The sequence below is a fragment of the Homo sapiens genome, chromosome 7, assembly GCF_000001405.40.
Source record: "Homo sapiens chromosome 7, GRCh38.p14 Primary Assembly".
NCBI classification, from domain to species: Eukaryota; Metazoa; Chordata; class Mammalia; order Primates; family Hominidae; genus Homo; species Homo sapiens.
The window spans coordinates 52310576-52325087 of NC_000007.14; the positions used below are offsets into that span (position 1 = coordinate 52310576).

A 14512-nucleotide genomic window follows, 5' to 3' on the forward strand; every position below is an offset into this window, starting at 1 on the left:
GATGTAACTTTTGCACCACAAATTCAGTAAAGTCATTGGGGCTCTTCAATGACCTCTCTTGGCAAAAATACCTCCATATCCACCATGAAGTTTTAAAATTCTAATGTTAATAATTATGGTGTTACTCAAAGTTACCCAAGTGTCAGATGAGAGAACATAAAGTAGAAAAATGAAATAGATGAACATAGATGAAAGTTTAGATTTTATAGTGAAGCAGAAGATTCACCTACATAGTGAGCATTCCTTGTAAGTTCTATACACATAGTCAAGTATTAAATATATGGTATTTATTTTCTGTCCCCTTCTGACCCTTGCTCTTTCAAAGTCTCTTTGCAGAGTCTCATTTCTAGAAATGGTTTCTAAGCATTGCTTTGGAGGATCCAGAAACCACTTTTCCTTAGATATGATGTTACAGGTAGCTTTAGATCTCTGGGTATCTGGCCTATGGTATTATCTGCCATATAAAAAGTGAATTAGTAATTAAATTAAGCCCAATTACTGATTGCGTTATTCAGGGTTCTCCAGAGAAACAGAATAAGTGGGATACATGTGGACACACACACACACAAACACATGGACACACACAGAGGAGAAGGTATTGGCCTACAGCATTATGTAAGCTATCAAGTCCCCGGATTGGCAGTCGGCAAGCTGGAGGCCCAGGAGACCTGAAGGTGTAGTTCCAGTCCAAAGGCTGGCAGGCTTGTGAACCAGAGCGAGGAAGAGTGGATGTTTCAGCTAAGAGTTCAGAGATAAAACCACTTCCCTGCCCAAAGGCAGTCAGGTAGAAAGAACTGCCTCTTTTTTTTCAAGGCAGAGTCAAATTTTTCGTTCCTTTCGGCCTTCAGTTCATCGGATGAGGCTCACCTCCATTAGGGAGGGCCATCTGCTTTACTCGGCCTATTGATTTAAATATTAAATTCATCAAAATATCTTCACAGAAATATCCAGAATAATGTTTGATGAAATATTTAGTCAACCTGTGGCCTAGTCAATTTGACACAAAAAATTAACCATCACAAGTTCGCTACCCATCAACGTGACATGCATATGCATTTTTAAAACCATACTTAATATCCAACTGAAGAAAACACAAGGTTGTAATTCTACTTCACAGCACAAAACCTTTCTGCACACATCCCCAAACTCACTAACCCTTCTCCCAGAAGAAAAGGCAAAACACTTGCATGATGTTTACTCTTTATCTTGCTATCGTATAACTTACATACTACTGCATAAAGTTAACAGTACTTAAATACTATGATATGAATTCAATACATCCTATGTCATATGATAAAGAAATATGATTGGAAAGAAAACAAAAACATTATATACACACACCTACATGTTTATAACAAAGTAAAGAGGAAATACTACTGATAATTATTGCCCTAATTGCTGGAACTGGTCACATGGTATTTATAGCAACCTTTCATTCCATGACCCATTCTATATGACCTTTGCCTTCAGCAAGCACTTGATTTAGTCATGGTTCTTTTATCTGGGGATGTGACACAAGCCACATCTGAAGGATGTGGGCCAATAGTGCAAATGCCTAGATTGGGTTGCTGTAGTATTTTATTGACCTTAATCACAAGGCATGCTCATACTAAGAGATACTCTTAGGGATGTCCTGCATTCCAGACATTCTGTTCCTTACTTCTATTGTGGAATAGGAGTCCATTGTGGAATTTTCCTTTGTCAGCATCATTTACCCCATCCAGCACTATAGCTCTCTTCTTTGCTACTTGGCTCAGAGGCACAAGGAACCCAAAGTGGCTGGGGAAGGTGTTAACTTCCAGCTCAATGGAATCACTGTTGCCTTTCCTGATGGAAACATTCCTCCCTTTGAAACTAAGATCTTGAAACCAATAGCAGAGCATAAGGTCTGTCCTCAGATAGAAACAGGAAGCAAAATTTTGCTAGTGGGACACTCAGGAAAATTGTGAGTGGTACCACTCCCATTTCTACCCCTTCATTACTGGACCTGAGAATCCTGGAGAAACAACACCAGATATTGGAAGCTGATTGAGATCATATACGACCTTCTGGAGCTTGCTCCAGCCATGCAAGTTATTGCCACCTAAGTAGGGCAAACTAGCCAAAAGACTGTTCCACCCTTCTAGCAAACCAGCTGCTTCAGAATGGTGGGGAACATAGTAAGATCATTGAAATATGTAAGCATGTGCCTGTTGCCATACATCTTTTGCTGTGAAATGAGTTCCTTGATCAATAAGCAATGATATAGGGATACCATGACAATGGATAAAGCATTCCATAAGCCCATGGCAAAAGCATTGCATGCAGGGAAGGAAAATCTGTATGCAGAGTGTCTATTTCAATAAGAAGAAAACACTGTCCCTTTCATGATGGAAATAGTCCAGTGTAGTCAACCTGCCACCAAATAGTGGGCTGCTCACCCTGGGGCATGGTGCTATATATGGGACTCAGTGTTGGTCTCTGCTGCTGGCAGATTGGGCACTCAGCATTGACCATATGCAGGTTGGCCTAGGTGAGTTAAAGTCTGAATTTCTGAGTTGATAAATACCTTCCATATCTGTCATCATGGTTACTTTATTCATGAGCTTATTCAGTGATTATTTGAATTGTTTCCCTTTACTCCATCAGTTTACATGTTGAAGCTCTAACTCAAATATGCCTGTATTTGGAGACAGGGCCTTTATGAGGCAATTAATGTTAAATGAGGTCATAAGTGTGGGGCCCTTATCTGAGAAGACTAATGTTCTTATAAGAGGAGACACCAGAGAGCATCTTCTTTCTTTCTCTCCTCACACCTGCTGTGGAAAAGCCAAGTGAGTACACAGTGAGAAGGTGGCTATTCACAAGCCAAGAAGAGAGCCCTCATCAGAAACTGCTGACCACAACCTTGATCTTAGACTTTCCAACACCCAGAACTATGAGAAATACAACTCTTTAAGCTGCATAGTCCATGGTGTTTTGTTATGGCAACTCAAACCAACTAATACACTGATAAAGTCAAATATTTAATTATAAAGCACTGATAATATAAAAATTTTTTGGGCATTAGAGGAAAATGTGTCCACATGACTCATCTTAATTACTAATTTCCTTCCTTCCTTCCTTCCTTCTCCTTCTTTTCTTTTCTTTTCTTCTTTCTTTCTTTCTTTCTTTTTCTTTCTTTCTTTCTTTCTTTCTTTCTTTCTTTCTTTCTTTCTTTCTTTCTTTCTTTCTTTCTTTCCTTCCTTCCTTCCTTCCTTCCTTCCTTCCTTCCTTCCTTTCTCTCTCTCTCTCTCTCTCTCTCTCTCTCTCTCTCTCTTTCTTTCTTTTTGGTCTACAATGGCATGATCTCAGCTCACTGCAACTTCCACCTCCCGGGCTCAAGTAATCCTCCCACCTCAGCCTCCTGAGTAGCTGGGACCACAGGTGCATGCCGCCATGCCTGGCTAATGTTTGGGGATTTTTTTTTTTTTTGTATTTTTCATAGAGACAGAGTTTCCCCATATCACCCAGGCTGGTCTCAATCTCCTGGACTCAAGTGATCTGCCCACCTCAGCCTCCCAAAGTGCTGAGATTACAGGAATGAGCCATCATGCCAAGCACATCTTAATTAGTTATTTTAACCAAACTGCAAGGAAATTGCAGTTAAATTTTGAACTCATACTAAGTAATAACTAAGAAGGGAAAAAACAATATGAAGGATAAAGATCTTGTAAGGATTACAGTTGAAACATAAAGTTTATTTGCAATCCAAAACCTTAATTCAGTAAAGATTAAAGAAAATAGCTAAGAAAATCAAGAACAAAAGCATGAAAAACAAAAAACAGAAACAAACAAGAAAAACACAGATGACAATCTTTGGCTCTAGTTAGTTGTCTAGATCTTGTTCTATAGATTTTAGGGGGAAGCTGTTTGTGTCATGGAACCTCTTGACCTGAAGATATGTTGGAAGCTGTCTTTGTTTGAAGATTGTATGCTTCTGAAGTATTCTTAGACTTTTTAGTTATATATCCTTCCCTAACAACAACAACAACAACAAAATGGTACTCCCAGTGTTGAAGGTTATAACATCATATCTTTTTACCTTAGAGACATGAATCCAGGAAGGTACACCTTCACATTTAATTACTGTACTAAGGATAAAAATAAACAAGGTCTTTTTCCACATGATTTCAGGGCAGAAGACTTCTTGAGAGGATGTAAAGGAAAGACATCTTGTGCTTATTGGTAATAATACTGATATGTTCTATCAGTTGGTTGCAGTGCTTTGCCATATCTGACTGAAATGAGGTGGAGTTGAAGATCAGGAGAGAAATATCTAACCTTACAGGATAACCTGAAACAAATTCATGCAGGCTGGAGTGTTGTTTCCAGGGTCCTGAGAGCGAGAAATTACACTCTTAGTTGACAAAGCCAGAGAGTTCTAGATCATCTTCTCATTCTGATCACTTGAGTTTTAAAATGACTTGGCTGTCTGTACTCCCCCTGAGGATTGAGGGTGATGGGGTCATAGCAGAAAACAGTTTCTGAGTAAGTGGCAAGGCTTTGAAAAGTTCTGTAATACTAGTGTCAGCCAAAAGAGTGGCTATATCACTAGATAGAGGTTGGAATCCCCATGTTAGAAATAAAATATAATTTTTTGTTATGTTTGTTTTTTCCCTGGTGTCACAGCTGTACCTCTTCAGCAAGGAAAAGCTTCTATCCACCTTGAGAATAAGTCAACAAGATAAACTGTTAAAGAAAACGTGGCACATATACACCATGGAATACTATGCAGCCATAAAAAAGAATGAGTTCATGTCCTTTGGACATGGATGAAGCTGGAAACCATCATTCTCAGCAAACTAACACAGGAACGGAAAACCAAACACCACATGTTCTCACCTGTGAGAGTTAAACAAGTTAAACAATGAGAACACATGTACACAAGGAGGGGAACATCACACACCGGGGCCTGTCGGTGGGTGGGGGGCTAGGAGAGGGATAGCATTAGGAGAAATACCTAATATAAATGATGGGTTGATGGGTGCAGCAAACCACCATGGCATGTGTATACCTATGTAACAAACCTGCACATTCTGCACATGTATCCTAGAACTTAAAGTATAATTAAAAAAAAAAAAAGAATGAAGATCCATAGAAAGAAGAAATGTGGAAGTGTTCGTAGAGGCAACTGAGGCTCTTATTTACTTCCCACTTTCTTAGTTTTATCAAGTGCTAATGATAGATGAGCTTTGAGGCAGAGACATTTTCAGCAATCTTTGTAAAATGTTTCCATTAATATCAACAATAGTAGACAATTTGTCATTACTTGATTGGCATATTTCATGGGGAATCTTTGGCAAGTTTGATTTGGGATTCTCTGACACAAGCTAGTAGCTTTCAGGAAAGTTTCAGAAATTATTGTCAAATAGCTTTCAACCAAAAGTTCCAATAACTCTTCAGATTCCAGAGTCAATAACTGGTACTTTCTAATAACTTCTTGAACTTCAAATATCTGACTTCTTAATATATCATGGGATCCTGGGGAGTTGGGTCAGGAGTTTCCTACTTGTAGAAGATAAACTAGGGCATTTTCTTTTACCTAAATGCTATCCTTTTTTGTCTAGGCTTTTATGATAGTTACCATCTTAAAAAGCATTAGAACATTCCACAGTTCATTAATATGTTGACCATTTTTAATTTGTTTCTTGCTGAGGCTGAAAACTCTTGTTTCCATAGCATTTCAAAACCTTGGACTGCTTCAAAGTCATACTTGTTATCTGTGTTTACTATAACTCTTTTATCTCTTCTCATTTGGCTGTCCTCTGTTGTGAGTGAAATAGGTTTTGCCATATGGGCAACTTTTACTCAGGTTGGGGCTATAATTTAGAAATGAATTGAAATCTGTTAAGGTTTATCTGCCCAAGAATTTTCCATTTTAGTCTTAAGATATGACCTGTCAACAAGCATGATTAAATCTGGAATTTTTAATAGTTTTTTGAGATAGTCAATTCTCAGTTAGAGAAAAGAGTCATAGATTTCCTTTCTTAGGGTAAAAGAAGAAGAGTATCACAATTTGAAGTGTTGTCACAATTGATAGAAATGTACTCAGAATAAAGTAATTCAATTCCTTAAGAGCTAAGCCTGAATACAGAAAAACGTGAACAAGGATCGCACAGCCTAAGGTACCAGCGTCAAAGACACTTTAAGTCAGTAGAGGTCTTCACTTACTTGGGTCTGGCTGCATAGACCTGGTGAGCAGGATTCCCTCTAGACCTAAAGAAAGGCTGAAGTAAGAATCTAGTCTATCAATATTCCTTTGAAAAAAGTCAGAACACCAAAATTTGGCCCGGATCGCTCATGTACAAACAAGTGTAAAGATTTATGATAATTAGAAATGTCCAGAGTGGGGAGACACTGAAGATTTTATTTATTTATTTATTTATTTATTTATTTATTTATTTATTTAATTTTTGAGATGGAGTCTCGCTCTGTCACTCAGGCTGGAGTGCAGTGGCGCAATCTTGTCTCACTGCAACTTCCGCCTCCCGGGTTCAAGCAATTCTCCTGCCTCAGCTTCCTGAGTAGCTGGGATTGCAGGCATGTGCCACCATGCCCAGATAAATTTTGTATTTTTAGTAGGGATGGGGTTTCACCATGCTGTTCAGGCTGGTCTTGAACTCCTGATCTTGTGATCTGCCTGCCTCAGCCTCCCAAAGTGCTGGGATTGCAGGTGTGAGCCACCACACCCGGCATGAAGACTTGATTTTAAGTCACCAAATACTCTCCATATTTAGGCTCTAGGGGGAGGTTAAATTCCCAGAAATTTGCAATGCCATTCATATGTGGTGATTATAAATAAATTGGGTACCTGCTGGCTACAGTAGGCAGCAAAATCTAGAAAATCTCTAAATTGTCTCTTGATCAGCATTCAAGAAAAATTTTGAGTGGCTTATAATCTCTCAGGATGGAGGTATTTAATTCTTTGGAATTAATCATGGCCCATCTAATATATTTTTCCCCAAAAAATGTAAATTTTCCTTTGAAACAGTATTAAAACATGAGTAAATAGGAAGAGTCAATCTCAGTGGTCACTTTATTTTTGGAATATGATATTTCACCCATGTATAACTTAAAGGTAGAGTCACAGATAAATTTGAATTTAAGGTCCTGGTAGTCCTGGTTAGTAATCTTTGCCTCAGTGAGCCTCTGAGGCATCACTGTTCAGGTAAAGTGTTGAATTTTGTAGAAAAAGTCAAGTCCTGATTCTCTTGATCTAGAGCAACTGAAGAAAGCAGTCAAAAGATCTATAACAATAAAATATTCAGCCTTCGGTAGCACTGAAGTTGAAATCATAAATTTTTTCCCCTACAGAACATCTCAAATTTCATGGAGATCTTAAATTGTCATTTAAATGGCAAAAATGCCATTGGTGGAGCATTTCTTTTGGAGACTCCATCTACATAGTAAACCCCGAGCTATGAAGAGAGCAGCCATGGGACCACAGGAGCAAAGGTTCCCAGAGACAGTTCAGTGGTGACAGTCAAGGGCTCTGAATGTAACATGGTGCAAGACTGGTGTAGCACTCTTAGTAATAAGAATTAAGGGTAAAATATGAAATTGAACTTTGTTTCCTGCTCAGAGGATAATAAACCTTCATTAATCATTACCTGCTTCATTTTTTTTTCTCTTTTTGTTTTTTAGCAGTATAGGACAATTGTTTTGCTAATGTTCTTTTTTATTTAGTTACAGTATTCACAGAATCAAGCATTTCTCTCCTCAGGTACTGAATGGCTTGGGTTGGAGCATCTAGTTGCTGTCTTTGTAAGGCCATTAGTATATTGAGAAGTTTTTTGTTGTTATTTGATTGTTTTATGGCCTTTGTTGTAAAATCCTATGAAAGAGTTCTGTGAAGAGATTGGCAACAGGGCTGTTTTATATTTCTGTATATGTTTACATATTAAATACCCAATTTCTGACTTAAGGTCTTTCAATAAAAGTAAGAAAGAGCCGGGGTCACATTTGCTTCAGGATCTATTATTAGATGTTGCTATAAAGTTGTGAAAGGCCCTATCCTTAAAGCCTCTAAAGCATTTGGATTAGTGCCCAGTCAATTTGTACAAGAAGACTTTGAAAGTAGCCTCCAAAATATTGGCCACTACCTACAGTTTTTCCAAATCTCTCTGACCTTCTTTGCAATTTCTCAGCATTTTCTCACTCAGATTTTCCATCCTTTTCTCTTTTTCTCTCTTTCTTTTTCTTTCTCCCTCCTTCCTTCCTTCCTTCCTTCCTTCCTTCCTTCCTTCCTTCCTTCCTTCCTTCCTTATTTCTCTCTCTCTCTCTTTCTTGCCTAGTGATATCTAAAATCATCTCTGGTAGCCAGAGATTATATGTGATTATATATGTCAGCCCAGGGTGAGACCAGGGCTGAAAAACTCCCTGAGGGACTTGGCCTGTTATAAAGGGATTTAAATATAAGGACCAATTAAACTTTAGGGATTCCCAGCTGTGTTGAAAGGAGGAAATGGATTGGAAAAAAGGTAGAGACAGAGGAAAAGTGATACAGATAAGACTGAGGAGGATGGATAGTAGGCTAAAGACCACTAATTTCAACTTGTCATTTGGCCTAATCCAAAAAAAAATTTAAAATATTTTACATCTTTATTTTACTTAAATAATTTTATAAGAAAGTGATTTTGGTATCTGAATTTCATTTGGGAGTTTCCTCATTTCAATAAAAATAATGCAGATTAATGAATGTAATTTTATTCCCATTCTGTCCTAAAAGACCTCTCCTCTGAACAATTTTATTTTTATCAAAAGTTTTCCTGAGTAGCACTGTGATATTTAAAATTTTCTTGGCCAGGCACTATGGCTCATGTCTATAAACTCAGCACTTTGGGAGGCTGAGGTGGACAGATCACCTGAGTTCAGGAGTTTGAGACCAACCTGGGCAACATATGTCTCTACAAAAAAATAGAAAAGTTAGCTGTGCATGGTGGTGCACTCCTGTAGTCCCAGCTACTCAGGAGGCTAAAATGGGAGGATCACTTGAGCCTAGGAGGTGGAGGTTGCAATGAGCCATGACTGTGTCACTTCACTCCAGCCTGGCCAGCAGAATGAGACCCTGTCTCAAAAAAAAAAAAAAAAAAAAAGAGAGAAAAAAAAGAGAAAATTCTTGGTGTATCAAAGTTATTTGAAAAGATAGTAACCTAAATTCAAATTATGGTATAAATTCATGTAAGAGACAGGGATTCAGCCCAAAGGAGTTATGGGTTTAGGTTTAGACTAAGAAAACCTGTAATAATGTTGTTAACAGTTTGAGGAAAACATTGTTGGTGTATCTTGGTTTCAGACCCCCATCTATCATCTGCTTCCACCAATCACAGAAGCAACACACTGATTTTCAGTAGATGGAAACTCAGCGAGGTGGTAGGACTCGGGACTGGGAGCTCACAGACAACACACAGTGCCTTCATAAGGTGTTGGTAACTGACCCAATCAAAGTTAGTCGAAAGGACACCAACTAGGGAGGAACTTTATGCACACCTCAGGCTCTCAGCCAATTACAGAAACAGAAATATTGGGAACAATGTCCACCTCTTCCCCAAGGACACACACCTACAAACTGACAGCAGAAAATGATTAGGATAGACATGAGCAATTTTCCCTGGGGTGGGGCTGGGATGTCTCACAGCTTGCTTCCTCATGTCCACAGGCCGTAATATGAAAACATCACTATTGTAAAACCTAGGACTGGTGCTTGAGGTATTTTTCAGACCTTGCACTCTGACAGACCAGCTTTTGCCACCTGGACTGGTCACTCATGTCGAGAAATAGGCTCAACTGGTCTTGTGACCTCTTACCCAGGAAATGACTCAGTGCAAGAGGCCAGCTTTGAGCTCCTGAGGTTTCATCCCCAACTCAACCAATCAGCATTTTCCACTCCCTAGCCTCTTGCCTACCAAAAAATCCTTGAAAAACTCTAGCCTCTGAGCACTCTGAGGCTGATTTGAGTAATATCCTTCCATCTACTGCTTGGCTAGCCCTGTGCTAATTAAACCCTTTCTCTACTGCAATACCGCTATTTCAGTGAACCAGTTTTATCTGTGAAACAGGCAAGACGTACCCACTGGGCCATTACACATATATGAATAAGTAATGGAAAAGAAATGCATTAACTCCCAGCCACTTTCTAGTGAACCTATTCCTACTAAACACTGAGAGAAATTAAAATATTTCACCTCAAAATACATTTCTTTGACATATTTTGACATAGCTGCCACTTGGGCAGCAGGCAGAAATGGCCCTGCAAAGCTGTCTTTTGAGGGGAAAATTTGCATCTGTAGGGAATCTGCATTAATGCAGCCAGTTCTCTCCCTTTTTATAATTTTCCTGGATCTAGGAGAGATTCAGTCTGACACCTTTAAAAGTCCAAAATGAAACATTTATCCTCTATTCCCTCTAAGGAAGGCTTCATCTACATTACAAGGCCACCTTTGCTAGCCAAGCCTCTTCTCCCTTCTCCCATGACCTGTTTTACCAGAATCTAAGCCCCTTTTTTTGTGACCTCAAAATGGTTTGTAAGATTATGTAACTCACTGGGAAGTTGGGTCTTAATTCTGAAGGCTCCTGTGTATACACATTAAATAAATTTGTATGCCTTTTCTTCTGGTAATCAATCTGTTTCATGTCAGTGATTTGTAGTGAAACTTTAGGGGACCAAGAGCCTATGACTTTCACCACATCAAGACAAATTGTCTCAATTCCCAGTTTTTTAGTCTATGGAGAGGAAGTTTTGCTTAGCCTGTACATATCATGATAAGATCGTTCAATTGTATTAATATAACCTAGGTATTACCTAAGGTCACCCTGTTCTTTGCAATTTAAATCAAATTGGTTCTATTACCCAGTTCCTTTGTGCTTTCTATGTTTCGTGGTCATTTCTGACTCTCCTCCATTCCTCTTAATCTCGCTCTTGCTTTATTTCAGTTGGCTGTCAATTCTCTTTACTTTATTATACAGAGAAATTTAGCTCTTCTCTTTGTACTTGTATTGTGTCTGCCTTTATATATCAAAAGACTCTAAAGTTTCTGCTAAAACAAAGGCTATGGGTTCTGGGCCTCACTTTTGAGCAGCAAAGAAGGAATGTCAGTAGCTTTGAAATATAAAACTTTCATACTGTTTCCTCATTTTGAAGTCTCTGTAAGTGGAAGAAAACCCTGTTCTGCTGAGAGTTTCAAGATGTATAGAACTATGCTACCACCAGTATCCCCAAAATCTTAGAAAAGGAAAGGTGCAACAGTCAGTTTTTCTTTTAGAAATAATATTTTGCACACGCAGAAATGATCAATCAATACACGAGTAATGCTTACTAATCAGCATTTACATGCAAATCTAGCAAGATTTTCACCTGAGTTAGTAACAGCACACAGAGTTGGAAATAATATGTTTGGGTACATCTGATTGATAAACTATTTTTGCAACCCTCTTGCAAAAAGGGCATGTGACCTAGTACTAATAAGCTGGAGGGAACTTAGCAAGGCCTCTTTGTCCAGATTCTTCTTGACTTTTGAGTATACAGTGAGATCGCTGGGGAATGAGTGTCTTAAGATCTACTTCCAGATAAGCTAGGTCAGAGAATTCTTTTCATGGCCTTAAAGGAGAAAGCTGAGAGAAAGTCAGAGAATTACCTTCTGGTTCTATGGTTTTCTCAATTTCCTCAGCTTAGAATACTCAGTATGCCCAGGTGCCATATTTTGGAATATTTTTTTCTGAACCCTAAGAAAGATGAGTAAGCTCTAGAAATCTACTATACAACATTGCACCTATAGTAAACAATAACGTACTGTACACTTAAAAATATGTTAAGAGGATAGGCTTCATGTTAAGTGTTCCTGTCATACACACACTGAAAAAGACTTTAGTGTCCATTAAAAGGCAGGTATTATACAGTTACTACCACCCTAATGCCAACCTCTGTGAGTAATTAGGAAATACTAAAAGAGACTTCCTAATTTTCTAATCTTTCTTCCCTTTTCTGTCTAGTATACAGTTTTATTTTTTAACATAATATATTAAGCATAGCACTGTAAACCAGAAATGTTTTTTTAAAAATCAGAATCTACTTTTAAAGAGTTTATTCAAGCAAAAAGCTGAGAATGTCCATTTGGGACACATGGACTACAGAGAAAGGGGTTCCGTGCTCTGAAGTTAAAAGTTACATTCTTGCTTGTAGGCAGAAAAAACAAATGTTACAGGATTTCAATATTTTCTATGCAAGGATGGTTTGAGAGTTAACAGCAAATTAATGAGCTACAGTTTGTTTCCTTTTCCCCATGGCTTTCTCTCCTCTCCTCTCCTCTCCTTTGCTTCCCTTTCCTTTTCCTTTTCCCTTTTCTTTTTTTTTTTGAGATGGAATCTTGCTCTATTGCCCAGGCTGCAATGTAGTGGCATTATCTTGGCTCACTGTAACCTCTGCCTCCTGGGTTCAAATGATTCTCCTGCCTCAGCCTCCTGAGCAGCTGGGATTACAGGCACCAGTCATCACGCCCAGGTAATTTTTGTATTTTTATTTTTAGTAGAGATGGGGTTTCACCATTTTGGCCAGGCTGGTCTCAAACTCCTGACCTCAAGTGATCCACCTACTTCGGCCTCCCAAAGTTCTGGGATTACAGGCATGAGCCAGCATGCCAGGCCTTCTTCTTTCATTTTTCCTTCCCTTTTCCTTTTCCTTTCCTTTCCATTTTCCCTTTGCTTCCCCTTCCCTTTCCCTTCCCTTTCCCCTTCCCTTTCTTTTCCCCTTCCCTTTTCCTTTCCCCTTCCCTTCCCCTTTCCCTTCTCCCTTCCCTTTCCTTCCCCTTCCCTTCCCCTTTCCCTTCTCCCTTCCCTTCCCCCTTCCCTTCCCCATTCTGTTCCCTTCCTGCTTCCCTTCTTTTTCCCCTTCCCTTCCCACTTCCCTTCCCTTCCCCCTTTCCTTCCTTTTCCCCTTCCCTTCCCACTTCCCTTCTCCCTTTCCTTCTCCCTTCCTTTCCCCCTTCCCTTTCCTCCCCCCTTCCCTTCCCTTCTCCCTTCCCTTCCCTTCCCCTTTCCCTTCCCTTCCCCTTTCCCTTTCCCTTTCCCTTTCCCTTCCCTTCCCCCTTCCCTTCCTCCTTCGCTTCCCTTCCCTTCTCTTCCTTTTTCCTTTCCATTTCTCTTTTACTTTCCTTTTCCTTTTCCTTTTCTTTCTTTTATTTTCCTTTCCTCTTCTTTTTTTTTTTCACATCAGATAGGTAATGTGCCAACATTGAGGGAGGCGCATCTCACACAAGTGCATGAAAACTCAGTCATCCTGCTTATGAACTACAAAAGGGTCATTTTCTTTTCTTTGCAGGTGATTTCTATTTTCTTTTCAACTTAAAAAGGTGTATCAATATTCCATCTTAAGACAATATGGTAGCCATGAAGTCTATGTAAGAAAGGTAAGAGAGAAGTTCATCTATAATGACGATCAGCAGTGACATGAAAAGGGGTCTTCCCTGGCATCCTTGAGTCCTTTACAACAGTTAGATAACAATGCAGATAAGGAAGAAGACTAACTTATAATCAGAGAAAAAAGGTTACAGCTGCCTAAGGTATAGCTGCCTGCCACCTCACACAGAACCCATACTTATATTCCTTTAAGGCTGAAAATAATGAGTTCTAATAGCTTAGATTTTTTTTCTTTTTTTTGAGATGGAGTCTCACTCTGATCCCCAGGTTAGAGTGCAGTGGTGCAGTCTCAACTCACTGCAACCTCTGCCTCCCATGTTCAAGGAGCTCTCTCTCCTGCCTCAGCCTCCTGAGTAGCTGGGACTACAGGGGCATGACACCACGCCCAGAGAGTTTTTGTATTTTTAGTAGAGATGGGATTTTGCCATGTTGGCCAGGCTGGTCTCGAACTCCTGACCTCTGGTGATCCAATTGCCTCAGCCTCCCACAGTGCTGGAATTATAGGCATAAGCCACTGCGCCCGGCTACAGCTTAGATTTTGAATAACTTATTTCCACAGTGTTTTGGACATATTTTTAGAACACCACCCCACATTTAAAAGAAACTCATGACATTGTATAAAACAATTAGAACCATAATATTGTTTTGCAGAATAAGAATTGATATTCATTGAAATAACTTAACATTATGACCATGTAGTAAGTAACTCCAGACCTGAGATTAAACACTTTGGGATAGGAAGACAGCAATGTGACTAATTATATGTTGAATAAATCATATTTAGGATAGAAAGTGTAACTATTTTTTTCTAAAAAGATATAATCTTTAACCAAGATTTTATGCCCCAATACACCCCAAAATTCTCATGAAAAATAAACTTAGGTGTTTTTATTTTCCAGATTACAAAATTCATACTGAATAAATCAATCTTTTAGAAATCTTGCACAAAATAGAAAAATAAGAATAATAATGAAATAATAGAATTGCTAATATTCAGAAAGAATTTAGTCTTTTTAAGAGACTGGGGGGTAGTGTTAGACACTATCCTAAGTTTTATGTATATTAACTCACTATTCACAAC

General features: G+C 38.9%; 2 long non-coding RNA genes and 1 pseudogene across 3 annotated transcripts in view; 2 read left to right on the forward strand and 1 right to left on the reverse strand.

The window, feature by feature from the left end:
- Positions 1–14512, forward strand: part of LOC124901810 (uncharacterized) — a 152886-nt gene that overhangs the window by 36752 nt on the left and 101622 nt on the right. The window lies entirely within an intron of this gene.
- The window catches only part of LOC107986796 (uncharacterized), a 43869-nt gene continuing 33962 nt past the window's right edge, over positions 4606–14512 (forward strand). Inside the window, exons 1-2 of the long non-coding RNA XR_001745210.2 lie at positions 4606–4865; positions 13334–13421. This is a non-coding gene — a long non-coding RNA (uncharacterized LOC107986796). The remainder of the gene's footprint in view (positions 4866–13333; positions 13422–14512) is intronic.
- On the reverse strand, positions 13223–13314 carry LOC124901845 (uncharacterized; annotated as a pseudogene).